The sequence below is a fragment of the Homo sapiens genome, chromosome 6 (genome assembly GCF_000001405.40).
Source record: "Homo sapiens chromosome 6, GRCh38.p14 Primary Assembly".
Taxonomy (NCBI): Eukaryota; Metazoa; Chordata; class Mammalia; order Primates; family Hominidae; genus Homo; species Homo sapiens.
In genome coordinates this window covers 80,119,268-80,135,237 of record NC_000006.12, presented here as the reverse complement: position 1 = coordinate 80,135,237, position 15,970 = coordinate 80,119,268, and the positions used below count along the sequence as shown (strand labels likewise).

The 15,970-nt window shown below is 38.4% G+C and overlaps 1 protein-coding gene across 28 annotated transcripts in view; it reads right to left on the bottom strand.

The window, feature by feature from the left end:
* Positions 1-15,970, bottom strand: part of BCKDHB (branched chain keto acid dehydrogenase E1 subunit beta) — a 360,067-nt gene that overhangs the window by 331,439 nt on the left and 12,658 nt on the right. For 26 of the 28 annotated variants that reach the window (XR_001743546.3, NR_134945.2, NR_187562.1 and 23 more), the window contains exons 2-3: positions 7,614-7,691; positions 6,009-6,077 (exon numbers count right to left, since the gene is read on the bottom strand). Coding sequence is in view for 21 of the 28 variants with exons in the window: in NM_001424037.1 (NP_001410966.1) it covers positions 6,009-6,077; positions 7,614-7,691 (147 nt within the window). In the remaining 7 variants the exon portion in view is untranslated. Of the gene's footprint in view, positions 1-6,008; positions 6,078-7,495; positions 7,692-7,859; positions 8,089-15,970 lie in introns of those variants that run through there. The other 2 variants (XM_047419214.1, NR_187564.1) reach the window with 2 other exon arrangements.

Genomic DNA, 15,970 nt, shown 5'->3' with positions numbered 1-15,970 from the left:
AATGGAACCCTGACACTAAATCCAAGAGTATGAGTATCACCCAAATAACCCGTTCTTTGCAACAAGAACATATAATGGAAGATCACTTTCTCTGTTAAAGACATTAATTTCATAATTCACAAAAAATATATAAGAGAGCAAAGATTTTGCTAACACCCCTAAATTTAAAACTTATGCTGGAAAAGCAGCCAAGTGTGGTGGCTCACACCTATAATCCCAGCACTTTGGGAGGCCAAGGCTGGCGGATCACTTGAGGTCAGGAGGTCGAGACCAGCCTGGCCAACATGATGAAACCCCATCTCTACTAAAAATACAAAAATCAGCCAGGCATAGTGGTGTATGCCTATTATCCCAGCTACTCAGAGGCTGAGGCACAAGAATCACTTGAACCTGGGGAATGGAAGTTGCAGTGAGCTGAGATCTCGCCACTGCACTCCAGCCTGGGTGACAGAGTGAGACTCCAACTCAAATAAATAAATAAATAAATAAATAAAATAAAACAAAACGCTGGAAAAGGGACATCTTAAGAAAAAATTAAATTAAATGCCTAAGGTACCCCATGGTTCCAAAATGCTATAACAACTATATTCAAAAAAACCTCTAAATGTAAAGGGAATCAAAGCATGAAAAAACTGTGTTCCTCTTTTTAAAAACAAATAAAACCATAAAGCTTACCTAAATGTATGCTCTGGAAGAATCCCAGAGGACCACCTAGTCCTTTCCCTTCAATTTACTGATGAGGATACTGAGGCCCAAAGTCAACTCCCAAATATTGATATATTATAGACAAAAACTTGCCTTCACCGCATGCCTGTCCTAGTTTTCCAACCTGACTTCAGTGTATTAAAGTATCTGGTTATACAATTTCAGTGATGTTTACATAAGAAAACAAGTAAGTGGTTATATTAGTTTTCCCAAGCTGCTATGACAGGCCACACCTGTGGTGTAAAGGAATGGATACAGTAATGGAAAAACATCAAGTCCCATGAAAAGGCACATGTTTAGGCCTGTAGACTAATTCAGGAGGTCCTCAGCTATTCCTTTCCTCACCTAAATTTCCTCCAATAAGTGGGCCAAATATACACTAAGAACCACAACCAGGCAAGTTATATCAGTATAGAATAATGTTACAAACATACCTTAAACCTGACACACCAAAATCTTATTTTAATAACACACACACACACATACACTCTTTCTCTTTCTCTCTCTCTCAGAGAATGACAATACGAATGGATTTTTTATATGCCATGAGGAATCTGTCTCATTACTTATATGAATGAAAGCATGTGTGACACCAGGCACAGTGGCTCACGCCTGTAATCCCAGCACTTTGGGAGGCCAAGGGAGGCAGATCACCTGAGGTCAGGAGTTCGAGACCAGCCTAGCCAACATGATGAAACCCCGTCTCTACTAAAAATACAAAAATTAGCCAGGTGTGGTGGTGGGCACCTGTAGTCCCAGCTACTTGGGAGGCTGAGGCAGGAGAATTGCTTGAACCTGGGAGAGAGAGGTTACAGTGAGCCGTGATCGCATTACTGCACTCCAGCCTGGGTGACAGAGCAAGACTCTGTCTTAAAAAAAAAAGAAAGAAAGAAAGCATGTGTGGCATTCAACATAAAATCACACATACCCTACAAATCAACTACCTTTAACTGCCCTCTCCCACTCCCTGCTTCCCCAGAGGTCCAGCTGTTGCTCCTAATCAATACATCTCATTACGTACAGTGGTTAAAGCTGCCATTTGGAATGCAATGTTGATGAGGACATACTATTTTCTTTCTTCTAATTTTCAAAGCACTCATACTATTTTGTTCTATCAAAGGACAAGGAAGAGAAGCAGTTTAGTGGTACTAAATCCACACTCATCTGGATCGTCTGGAATACAAAATGCTCTATGCCTCTCTTCCTTTTCTTATAGCATTGCCTCTAATTATGCAATTCCTTCTTTGTCATATCAAGTAGTATTCAGCTTTACAACGTATGTCAGTAACCCACAATCCTTCAAATTCCGCCTTCTGATGGAATATAAAATGCTTTGCAGCAGTTCAAGTGCTGGCACAATGCCAACAGGGATGTTCTCATTTCAAAGGGTAGGCTGCCACCTGCTGACTTGATCCTTTCCCACTCAACATTCAGCACTCCCCAGAAAGCGAACTGATCTGGCACAAGGGTTTTCTTTGCTATGTCATTTAATGCAGTGTGACTTGATTGTTATATTGAACTATATCAACATAATCTTTTAGTTATTTTAAATACAAATTATCCTTTAAAAATCCTAAGCAGACAGTTATGCTTCTGTATAGCTAAAAATTCCTGCCCTATATTCAAAAGGGCAGATAATTTTTTAAGTATATGTTACTTTTTAAATATGCAAGAAAAATGTATTTTAATATATTTCTCTTCACCCTTTCCTTTATTCTTCACTTCTGAAAACAGAAGCTCACTTACTCTCATTAGAAAGTATCAGCGATTTAATTTTTCATCTTGATCAACATCCTCAACCTGAAATTAATAAAGTGTAACTTCACTGCCCTAAAACTATTGTAAAAATTCACAGCAGCTGCTGACAATAAAGCTAAAAGAGTTACTTAGCCATTAGTTAGCTCAGCCTCCTGCCATGACAGGAAACATAAATTTGCAGGTACCCTCTAAGAGCACTGGACTTTTTCAAGTTAAGAGTTAGTTTCTCCCCATTTTAACCTATTTTTTAAGGAAAATAAAATCAGACCAACCTAAATAATTAATGTGAGAGAGGGAAATCCCCTTCCTGAGACAGTAGGACACTGTCTAAGTGAGAGCAAAGGGTAAATTCACTCAACAGCACGCACTTCATAAATACTGCCTGATACAATATTAGGTCCTAGGGATCCATTCTGTGGAACAGCTTAAAGATCTGCTGCCTTTGACAACTTTCTGGTGGGAGTTATGGATTACAGTACAACTTTCAAGATTTAAAAGGTGCAGCGTGAATAGTGATAAAGAACTGCCTGAGTCTGCTTGGAGGGTCCGGAAGAGTTTCACAGGGGAATCTTCTGAAGAAGAAATAGGAGTCTACCAGGTAATCAGACAGGGTAGAGAGACCCAGATAGCAAGTGCAAAGGAAGAGAGAAGAAAAAACAACAGGGGGCTTAAGAGAAACAACCAGTAACTCAACATTAGTTTTAATAAAAATTTTAAAAAGCTCAAGTTCCTAGGTCTGTAGAGTAAAAACTAAAAAATAGATAAAATAAATAAAATAAAAATAAAAGCAGATGAGGTCAGGTAGCTACCTAAGTAGTTCTCAAAGTCTTTGGTAGCCAGGCGCAGTGGCTCATGCCTGTAATCCCAGCACTTAGGGAGGCCGAGGCAGGTGGATCACAAGGTCAGGAGTTTGAGACCAGCCTGACCAACACAGTGAAATTCCATCTCTACTAAAAATACAAAAATTAGCAGGGCATGGTGGTATGCGGCTGTAGTCCCAGCTACTCAGGAGGCTGAGGCAGGAGAATCACTTGAACCCAGGAAGCAGAGGCTGCAGTGAGCCAAGATCGCACCACTGCACTCCAGCCTGGGCGATAGAGCGAGACTCCATCTCAAAAAAAAAAAAAAGTATTTTGTATGTCCTGCTAAGAAATATGCATGTTAAAATCATCACACTGGCAACAAGATAGGGAATGGATTGGAGGGAGGGTAAGACTAAAGGAGTGGTGACTGCTAAGAAAAGAAATAAAACTCTGCAGGCAGAGAAAAATGAAAGATCTTAAGTATCAGGGCAGTAAGAATGGAAAGGAGGGGCCAGATTAGATATAATTATACAACTTCACTGGATGTGGGGAACTAGAAAGAAGGAAGACACTTAGAATTTCCCCAGTGTCTGGCTTAGGTAACTAAATGGATGGTGATATATTCACCAAAATAGGAAATGCACTAGGAGGCATATATTTGCTGGGTGCATGTAGCAGCCTTAGGTGTGGAAATGCTGAGTTTGAAGTGACTGTGGAACACTGAGGTGAAGATGTGCAGTAGAAACTGAATACACAGATCTGAAGCTCAGAACGGAAGTCTGAACTAGAGACAGAAATTCAGGAGTCACCAGTGTATGAGCAGCAGATGGCATCGATAAAATGCCCCAGACAGAAGGGGTAAGCAGAGTGTTATGGATGAGAACCTGGGCAGACAGGCAGCAGAGGACTCAACAGCCTACACAAACCCCTAGATTTTTTGGGAGGAATAAATGAAGCAGTACATGTAATACACTCAGAACAGTACCTGACGCAGTGAGTTGAATAAATATTAGCTATTCAGAAAGCACATGGCATGCTACTACACTGAGTCAGGCAAGATGGAATTGTGAGGTCTAGACACTGCTCCACAGCATAGTTATACTGGATACAGAGAAGACTCAGTTACAGAAGTATAATTCTGTGTTTGAAATATTAGTTAATATATACAAACATATTCAAATACAGTCTAGAAGTATATATACCAAGACGTGTACAGTGGTTATCTCCAAGTTATCTCTGAAAACATGAGCAATTTTTATTTTCTTTATGCTTTTCTATATTTTCCAAATTTTCTACAATGTATATGCATTACTTTTGAAATCAAATGTGTAAAGATTTTTAACTGTTTATTAAAGATCTAAAAGTTTGTAGCAGGAGTCTAAATGATCAGGAAAAATAATCTTTTGCCCAACTACCTCAAGCTCTAAGCAGGTATTAGAAGTAGGAGAAAGCAGACGGACTGGATCCAGAAACTCAACCTGCTATAAATGGAAAAGAAAAGACTAAGCTGGAAGTTCCCAATAAGTGAGATGGAACATGTATGGGTTCTTGGATTTAAGTATAACATAACCTCAGAAAGAGTGGAACAGAAAAAGAGACAACAATTTAAAAAAAAATTTTAAAGACCCTCACTCCTCTTGCCCCGTATGAATACACAAGCAATATAGAGCAATGCCAAAGGAAAGAAGAGAGGGAGATATCAGCTCCTGCCAGCCCTCACGTGAACTGCTTTGCTGAATTCTAAATCAGGTAAGACTAAGACAAAAAATAAAATGTCAAAAGCATTTCAAAGGTATCCCTAACAATAGGAGGTCAAAACACATTCCTTACACTGCAAGTCAGAAGAGTGGGAATTCAAAGATGGACCAAAATGCATTCTGATTATTTTAACTGAGTCAAATGAAATTAATAAAAGCAATGGGCAGAAATCAATCACATGCCAATTAAAGACATCAGCTGGGATAAAACATGTAAGAAGGATAATGTGATGGTTCATTATATGTCAACTTGACCAGGCTATGGCACCCAATTATTAATATTTGGTCAAACACAGGTGTAGAAGTTGTTGTGAAGGTATTTTTTAGATGTGATTAGCGTTTAAATCAGTAGATTTTGAATAAAGCAGATTACCTTTTATAATGTGGGTAGGCTTCATACAATCAATTTAAGGCCTTAAGAGAAAAGACTGCAGGTTCCCGAGCAAAAAGAAATTCAGCCTCAAGGCTAAAACAGAAACCCTGCCTGAGTTTCAAGTCAACCAGTTTGCCCTATGGACTTGCCAGCCAGTTCCTTAAAACTAAACTCACATGAGCCAGTTCCTTAAAAACTAAATCCCTCTCCCTCTCTCTCTCTCTCTCTTCCCGAAAAGATAAAGTTTGCTAATAAAGACCCAACAGGCAGAATCTCCAACTGGAGGCAATGGAATTGAAATTGGCTCAGGCAGCTAGCAATAAAACACCAAAGGTTCTTGGACAGAAGAATGACACAATAAATAATATACATTTAATGACAATTATTTTGGAATCATTTACACTGTATGTGTAATATGAACTAGATCAGAGGGATACTAGAAGACATTTGAGAAAATATAGGCCAAAGGATTCTGCGGGTGGCGTTGGAAATGAAAAGGAATTCATCCATACAATGGGGATATGACAAAAAATTTAGTAGGCATATTTTGTATTTTTAAGATCTTTTAGTAAAAGTTCTATCAGAATACTATTCATATAGGTATTTACTTACCATATTTGTCTCGCAAGCCAACAGTGCATCTAAAGACTCCACCAAAGGCAACATCTTCACCAAATATTACTGAAAAACAGTATTTAAATAATACATTTTATTTAATAATCTCTAAATAATACTAACAATGAGAAATAAGTAATTTAAATGTTTACATTTTAAATCACAAAAGATAAATGGACCATAGATCTCGATCAAGGTTTCTCAACTTCTACATTATTGACATTTTAGACTAGATGATTCTTTTGTTGTGAGGGTCTGTCCTGTGCACTGTAGATACATAGCAGCAACCCTGGTCTCTACCCACTGGATGACAGTTACCACACACACACACACACACACACACACACACACACAGTTGAGACAACAAAAAGTGTCTTCACTTACATTGTTAAATGTAAACAGAGTTGTGGGAGTGGAGACTAAGATCATCCCCAGTTGAGAAAGAACCACTGATCTAGAATCTCATTTGTTTTATCCATGAAGAAAACGAGACCAGAGAAGTGGTAAATTGACTGGCCAAGTCAGAAAGCTAGAGGCAGAACTATGACTCATGCTCCAGACTTCCAGGCCTGTGGTTTTTCCTGAGACACAGCATACAGTAAGTAAGCCATCAGAAGAGCATTCCAAGCTAAGGGAACAGTCACAAATAGGAAAGGGATTTAGACTGTGTGAAGCAGAAAGGAGGCAAGCACGAAGGACACAGTAAGCAAGGCAAAGAATGGTGTAGGTGGAAATTGGCAGGAGCTTTAAAATAAGGGGTATTCATAGAGCTGAATGCTAGTCTCATAAACGTACCTAACCAGTTTTTATCGACCCCAAGAAAAAACTCACCCTTCTCTATGTTTGAATTTACTTCTCTAGTTCAATCATCCGCAAGTAGCATTCAAAACAAATCAAGATCTAATCATCCTTTAGTCCAGCTCCCACTTCTCCCTAAAAAATAACCTGTTTTTCATTTAACCTTAAAACTACAGATTATCAGGTGGAAGGTGGAAGCCCAATGTATAGTCAACATATATGCACACACACACATATATAAACTGTATATATAGATATATGTTAAATATATATGTATATACATATATGAAGTAAAGCCAATCAAATTTGAAAACATACAGTGGAAGAACAATTGGTTTTGTATCAATGATTTAATAAGATGAAGATTAAGATACTTATAAAATTATATATAAATATTACAATTATTTCCAAAACATATTACAAGTTGAATGACAATGTATTCCAAAGGGAAGCATAAAATCAAGTCTTCATTTTATAAATAAATAGCTGAATGAAAAGGTATTTTGTTTTCTTCTATGTGCCAAAGAAACAGGAGTACACAGCAGGTTTTAATCCAGAAGTTATTAATACAATATCAGGACCACACACACTGTAAGAGAAAGCTGACTTGATGTTAAATATACATGAGAACTAACTGGTAATAAGTGGACTAATATTGCAATTTGATTATTTAGCCCCAATCATACCTTTGAAAATGTCAGGTAGATACAATGTTAACCATTGAGCTCCACATAAATATTTTAAGCAAATCTTCAATTCTGGAATTAACACAGCTACCACAATTCAGGCACATATCAGGGTTACCTGCAGTAGGATCTTTGGCCAATGAGTTATCCAAGGCACTTGTTACAGACTGGAAAAGATTCATTTTCTGAGTTTGCCCTGTGAAAATCAAAAAAAAAATCATTTCGTGTGTTGTAAAATACATAAAAACAACCAGTTTCTTAACAGTTAATTACAACTTGACTAAAATCAAGGTACAAAGAAAGATATTATGCAAATTGCTGAATTATTTACAATAATACTATAAGATACAAAAGCAATACAGACCTGGAGAAGCTTGTTAATGGGGCAAAATTTACCCATATTAAACAATTTTTTGTAAAAGTATAAAACAGGAAGAAGGAATATAACCAAGTGACTAAATGCGTGTAGACAATAAGACCTATGGAAAGTCAGAAAGGGAGACCCGTCAAAGTGAGTGGTCTGGGAAGAAGCACAGACAGGTGTTAGGAACCTAAGCCATAAGGAATGTGCATGACCAGTGGCATGTGCTAAATACGTCAACAGCAAATGGTCATGGACCATAAAACAATAAGGAAGGGTAAAGATAAACTTTGGTACCCGGAACTGCTGGAGTTTGGAACATACCATAATCTTATGCCTAACCACATCATATTTAGTCCTTCTTATTGTCTTATTACTTAAATAGAATATCTGTGAGCCAGTGTCCATTCCCTAAATGGATTTTTTAGGAGGAATAAATGAAGCAGTACATGTAATACACTCAGAACAGTACCTGACACAGTGAGTGCTGAATAAATATTAGCTATTCATTGTTAGGTTCTGGACTCTGTCCATGTCCTTCTATCTTCACCTTAGTACTCTTCTGAATGGTATAGGAAAGCTTCATTTGATAAAGTTCTAAATGTTAGAATTCAGAAACATCATGACATTAGAGCTTCGATTCAAGCTCAGGTGCTGCCCAATGCCCACAGTCATCCCAAAACTTTAAGTCAACTCCTCTGCAAAATTACAATTCAGAGCACAGAACGGCTTCAGCCTAAATCTCCCGATCGAAAGGCCCACTCTTTATCCTAGTGCCTGATCTACACGCTGGTAGTCGCCTTAACCCACAGCATGCTGATAACAAATCATTTCGATACCTGTTGCTTACCCTGATCACTGCCCACCTAACCTCCATGCTATTCATTAGCCTAGTGTGTCCCAACAGTCAAGATCTAATTCCCAGTGTGGGTCACAACAGCTACTGCTGTTGCCTTCAACTGTCTGACCATGGGACATTGGTCACTTGTCCTTTTCCTGGAGACCCATTTTCTTCCCTAGCCTGGCATTGCTCCACAGCAGGTTCTGACATATGACATCTTTCCTCCTTCCATTATCCACCGATACTCCAGACTTCTGACGTTCTGCCTACTCTGGCATCTAATGTCTCTCTGATCCTTTCAACAGTACTGAATGCCCAGGGTTCAGGTCTTGGCAATCCCCAGTCAGATACGTCCTCTGCCCTCTGTGCCCACAATCATAGCCTGTTTCTACTCTTATATTTGGTGGAGATAATACGAATTTACTCAAATATTATTTTATATCACTTATGGCAAAAGATATACAATCATACCACATGTCCATGATTACTTAAAAATTTATTTTTCTTCAGGCTAGGGCTATAACACTTAATAGATACAGGCATACTTTGTCTTACTGTGCTTCACTTTATTTTGCCCTACAGATATTGCAATTTTTACAAATGGAAACTTTGTAGCAACCCTGTATCTAGCAAGTCTATCAGCATCAGAATCACATTTTCATAATTCTCACAATATTTCAAACTTTTTCATTACTATTACATCTGTTATCATGATCTCTGATCAATGATCTTTGAGGTTATAGTGTCTTGGGGTGCCACAGCCTTCTGACATTCTGCCATGGCACCCCAAGACAATTACATTAGTAACCTCAATAAATGTTGTATGTGTTCTCACTGATCCACTGACCAGTCATTCTCCTTTATCTCTCCCTTTCTTCAGGCTTCCCTATTCCCTGAGACATAATAATATGAAAATTAGACCTACAGTGATCTCTAAGTTTTCAAGTGAAAGGAGGAGCTGCATATCTCTCACTTTAAATCGTAAGTTAGAAATGACTAAGCTAAGTACGGAAGGCATGCTGAAAGTCCAGAGAGTCTGAAAGCTAGGCTTCTTGCACCAAATAGCCTAGTTGTGAATGCAAAGGAAAAGTTCTTGAAGAAAATGTAAACTGTTATTCCAGTAAGCACACAAATGATAAGAAAGCAAAATAGCCTTATTGCTGATATGAAGAAAATTTTAGTGGTCTGAATAGAAAACCAAATCACACACGACATTCCCTTAAGTCAAAGCCTAATCCAGGGCAAGTTCCTAACTCTTTTCAATTCTATGAAAGCTGACAGAGGTGAGGAAGCTGCCGAAGAAAAATCTGAAGATAGCAGAGCTTGGTTCATGAGGTTTAAGAAGAGAAGCCATCTCAGTACATAAAACGGCAAAGTGAAGCATAAAGTGCTGATGGAGAAGCTGCAGTAAATTATCCAGAAGATCTCACTAAGATCATTGATGAAGGTGGCTATACTAAACAAAAGATTTTCAATGGAGACAAAACAGCTTCTATTGGAAGATGCTATCTTGGATTTTCATAGCTAAAGAGAAGTCAATGCCTGGCTTCAAAGGACAGGTGGACTCTTTTGTAAGGGGCTAATGTAGCTGGTGATTTGAAGTTGAAGCCAATGTTCATTCACCATTCTGAAAGTCCTAGCACCCTTGAGAATTATGCTAAATCCACTCTGCCTGTTCTCTTTCAATGAAACAACAAACCCTGAATGATAGCACATCTATTTATATCAGGGTTTCCTGAATATTTTAAGCCCACTGTTGAAACCTACTGCTCAGGAAAAAAAAAGATTCCTTTCAAAATATTACTGCTCATTGACAATGCGCCTTGGTCACCCAAGCGCTCTGACGGAGATGTATAAGATTAACGTTGTTTTCCACAGATCAAAAGAGACAAAGAAGGCCATTACATAATGGTAAAGGGATCAATTCAAAAAGAAGAGCTAACTATCCTAAATATATGCACCCAATACAGGAGCACCCAGATTCATAAAGCAAGTCCTTAGAGACCTACAAAGAGACTCCCATACAATAATATTGGGAGACTTTAACACTCCAATGTCAATATTAGACAGAACAACGAGAAACAAGGTTAACAAGGATATCCAGGACCTGAACTCAGCTCTGCACCAAGTGGACCTAATAGACATCTACAGAACTCTCCACCCCAAATCAACAGAATACACATTCTTCTCAGCACTACATCACACTTATTCTAAAATTGACCACATAACTGGAAGTAAAGCACTTTTCAGCAAATGTAAAAGAACAGAAATAACAACAAACTGTCTCTCAAACCGCAGTGCAATCAAATTAGAACTCAGGATTAAGAAACTCACTCAAAACCGCACAACTACATGGAAACTGAACAACCTGCTCCTGAATGACTACTGGGTAAATAAGGAAAAGAAGGCAGAAATAAAGAAGTTCTTTGAAATCAATGAGAGCAAAGACACAACGTACCAGAATCTCTGGGACACATTTAAAGCAGTGTGGAGAGGGAAATTTATAGCTCTAAATGCCCACAAGAGAAAACAGGAAAGATCTAAAATTGACACCCTAACATCACAATTAAAAGAACTAGAGAAGCAAGAGCAAATAAATTCAAAAGCTAGCAGAAGGCAAGAAATAACTAAGATCAGAGCAGAACTGAAAGAGATAGAGACAAAAAAACCGTTCAAAAAAATCAATGAATCCAGGAGCTGGTTTTTTGAAAAGATCAACAAAATTGATAGACCACTAGAAAGATTAATAAAGAAGAAAACAGAGAAGAATCAAATAGATGCAATAAAAAATGATAAAGGAGATATCACCACCAATCCCACAGAAATACAAACTACCATCAGAGAATACTATAAACACCTCTATGCAAATAAACTAGAAAATCTAGAAGAAATGGATAAATTCCTGGACACATACACCCTCCCAAGACTAAACCAGGAAGAAGTTGAATCTCTGAATAGAACAATAACAGGCTCTGAAATTGAGGCAATAATTAATAGCCTACCAACCAAAAAAAGTCCAGGACCAGATGGATTCACAGCTGAATTCTACCAGAGATACAAAGAGTTGCTGGTACCATTCCTTCTTCTTGCAGGAAGTCAGGGATCCCAAATGGAGGGACTGGCTGGAGCCATGACAGAGGAACATAAATCGTGAAAATTTCATGGACATTTAACAGTTCCCAAATAATACTTTTATAATTTCTTACACCTGTTTTACTTTAATCTCTTAATTCTGTTATCTTCGTAAGCTGAGGATGTACATCACCTCAGGACCACTGTGATAATTGTGTTAACTGTACAAATTGATTGTAAAACATGTGTGTTTGAACAATATGAAATCAGTGCACCTTGAAAAACAACAGAATAACAGCAATTTTTAGGGAACAAGGGAAGACAACCATAAGGTCTGACTGCCTGTGGGGTCAGGCAAAAAGAGCCATATTTTTCTTCTTGCAGAGAGCCTATAAACGGACATGCAAGTAGGAGAGATATTGCTAAATTCTTTTCCTAGCAAGGAATATTAATATTAATACCCAGGGAAAGGAATGCATTCCTGGGGGGGCCGGGGGGGAGGGGGGGAAGGCCTATAAACATCCGCTCTGGGAGCGTCTGTCTTATGTGGTTGAGATAAGGACTGAGATACGCCCTGGTCTCCTGCAGTACCCTCAGGCTTATTAGGGTGGGGAAAAACTCCAAGCTGGTAAATTTGTGGTCAGACTGGTTCTCTGCTCTCAAACCCTGTTTTCTGTTGTTTAAGATGTTTATCAAGACAATATGTGCAAAGCTGAAGATAGACCCTTATCAGTAGTTCTGTTTTGCCTTTTGTCCTGTTAGGTCAGAAGCATGTGATCTTTGCTCTGCTTTTTGCCCTTTGAAGCATGTGATCTTTGTACCTACTCCCTGTTTTAAACCCCCTCCAATTTTGAAACCCTTAATAAAAAACTTGTTGGTTTGAGCCTCAGGTGGGCATCATGGTCCTACCAATATGGGATGTCACCCCCGGCGGCCCAGCTGTAAAATTCCTCACTTTGTACTCTTTCTCTTTATTTCTCAGCCAGATGACACTTATGGAAAACAGAAAGAACCTACGTTAAAATATTGGGGGTGGGTTCCCCCGACACCTTCTGGAACTATTCCAATCAATAGAAAAAGAAGGAATCCTCCCTAACTCATTTTATGAGGCTAACATCATCCTGATACCAAAGCCTGACAGACACAACAAAAGAAGAGAATTTTAGACTAATATCCCTGATGAACATCAATGCAAAAATTCTCAGTAAAATACTGGCAAACCAAATCCAGCAGCACATAAAAAATCTTATCCACCACGATCAAGTCAACTTCATCCCTGGGATGCAAGGCTGGTTCAACATATGCAAATCAATAAACGTAATCCATCACATAAACAGAACCAATGACAAAAACCACATGATTATCTCAATAGATGCAGAAAAGGCCTTCGACAAAATTCAACAGCCCTTCATGCTAAAAACTCTCAATAAACTAGGTATTGATGGAACATATCTCAAAATAATAAGAGCTATTTATGACAAACCCACAGCCGATATCATACTAAATTGGCAAAAACTGGAAGCATTCCCTTTGAAAACTGGCACGAGACAAGGATGCCCTCTCTCACCACTCCTATTCAACATAGTGTTGGAAGTTCTAGCCGCAATCAGGCAAGAGAAACAAATAAAGGGTTTTCAATTAGGAAAAGAGGAAGTAAAATTGTCCCTGTTTGCAGATGAGATTATTGTATATTTAGAAAACCCCATCGTCTCAGCCCAAAATCTCCTTAAGCTGATAAGCAAATTCTGCAAAGTTTCAAGATACAAAATCAATGTGCAAAAATCACAAGCATTCCTATACACCATTAACAGAGAGCCAAATCATGAGTGAACTCCCATTCACAATTGCTACAAACAAAATAAAATACCTAGGAATCCAATTTACAAGGAATGTGAAGGACCTCTTCAAGGAGAACTACAAACCACTGCTCAACAAAATAAAAGAGGACACAAACAAATGGAAGAATATTCCATGCTCATGGATAAGAAGAATCTGTTTGTGAAAATGGCCATACTGTCCAAAGTAACTTATAGATTCAGTGCCATCCCCATCAAGCTACCAATGACTTTCTTCACAGAATTGGAAAAAACTACTTTAAAGTTCATATGGAACCAAAAAAGAGCACACATAGCCAAGATAATCCTAAACAAAAAGAACAAAGCTAAAGGTATCACACTACCTGACTTCAAACTATACTACAAGGCTACAGTAACCAAAACAGCATGGTACTGGTACCAAAACAGAGATATAGATCAATGGAACAGAACAGAGGCCTCAAAAATAATGCCACAAATCTACAACCATCTGATCTTTAATAAACCTGACAAAAATAAGAAATGGGGAAAGGATTCCCTATTTAATAAATGGTGCTGGGAAAACTGGCTAGCCATATGTAGAAAGCTGAAACTGGATCCCTTCCTTACACCTTATACAAAAATTAACTCAAGATGGATTAAAGACTTAAATGTTAGACCTAAAACCATAAAATCCCTAGAAGAAAACCTAGGCAATACCATTCAGGACATAGGTATAGGCAAGGACTTCATGACTAAAACATCAAAAGCAATGGCAACAAAAGACAAAATAGACAAAGGGGATCTAATTAAACTAAAGAGCTTCTGCACGGCAAAATAAACTATCATCAGAGTGAACGGGCAACCTACAGAATGGGAGAAAATTTTCGCAATCTACCCATCTGACAAAGGGCTAATATCCAGAATCTACAAAGAACTCAAACAAATTTACAAGAAAAAGACAAACAAACCCATCAAAAAGTGGGCAAAGAATATGAACAGATACTGCTCAAAACAAGACATCTATGCAGCCAACAGACACATGAGAAAATGCTTATCATCACCGGTCATCAGAGAAATGCAAATCAAAATCACAATGAGATACCATCTCACACCATTTAGAATGGCAATCATTAAAAAGTCAAGAAACAACAGATGCTGGAGAGGATGTGGAGAAATAGGAACACTTTTACACTCTTGGTGGGAGTGTAAATTGGTTCAACCATTGTGGAAAACAGTGTGGAGATTCCTCAAGGATCTAGAACTAGAATTACCATTTGACCCAACAATCCCATTACTGGGTATATATCCAAAGGATTATAAATCATGCTACTATAAAGACACATGCACATGTATGTTTATTGTGGCACTATTCACAATAGCAAAGACTTGGAACCAACCCAAATGTCTATCAATGATAGACTAGATTAAGAAAATGTGGCACATATACACCATGGAATACTATGCAGCCATACAAAATGATGAGTTCATGTCCTTTGCAGGGACATGGATGAAGCTGGAAACCATCATTCTCAGCAAACTATCACAAGGACAGAAAACCAAACACCACATGTTCTCACTCATAAGTGGGAAATGAACAATGAGATCACTTGGACACAGGGCGGGGAACATCACACACCAGGGCCTGTCGGGGATTGGGAAGCTGGGGGAGGGATAGCATTAGAAGAAATACCTAATGTAAATGATGAGTCGATGGGTGCAGCAAAACAACATGGCACATACCTATGTATCAAACCTGCACGTTGTGTACATGTACCCTAGAACTTAAAGTATAATGAAAAAAAAAATAGGAAAAAAAAGATTAACATTGTTTTCATGCCTGCTAATACATCAATTCTGTGCCTCACAGATCAAGGAATAATTTCTACTTTCAAGTCTTATTATTTAAGAAATACATTTTGTAAAGCTATATCTGCCATAAATGATTACTCTGATGGATCTGGGCAAAGTAAATTGAAAATCTTCTGGGAAGGACTATTCTAGATGCCATTTAGAATGTTCATGGTTCATGAAATTTCAAAATGTCAACATTGGCCAGGCGTGATGGCTCACACTTGAAATCCCAGCACTTTGTGAGGCCAAGGGGGGTGCGGATCACTTGAGGCCAGGAGTTCGAGACCAGCCTGGCTAACATGGCGAAACCCCATCCTCTACCAAAAATACAAAAAATTAGCCCAGTATGGTGGTGCACACCTGTAATCCCAGCTACTCAGGAGGCTAAGGCACAAGAATCACTTGAACCCAGGAGGTAGAGGTTGCAGCCAGCCAAGATTATGCCACTGCACTCCAGCCTGCGTGACAGAGTGAGACTCTGTCTCAAAAAACAGTAAAAAAGAAGTCAACATTTATAGGAGTTTGAAATAAATTGATTTCAACCCTCATGGATG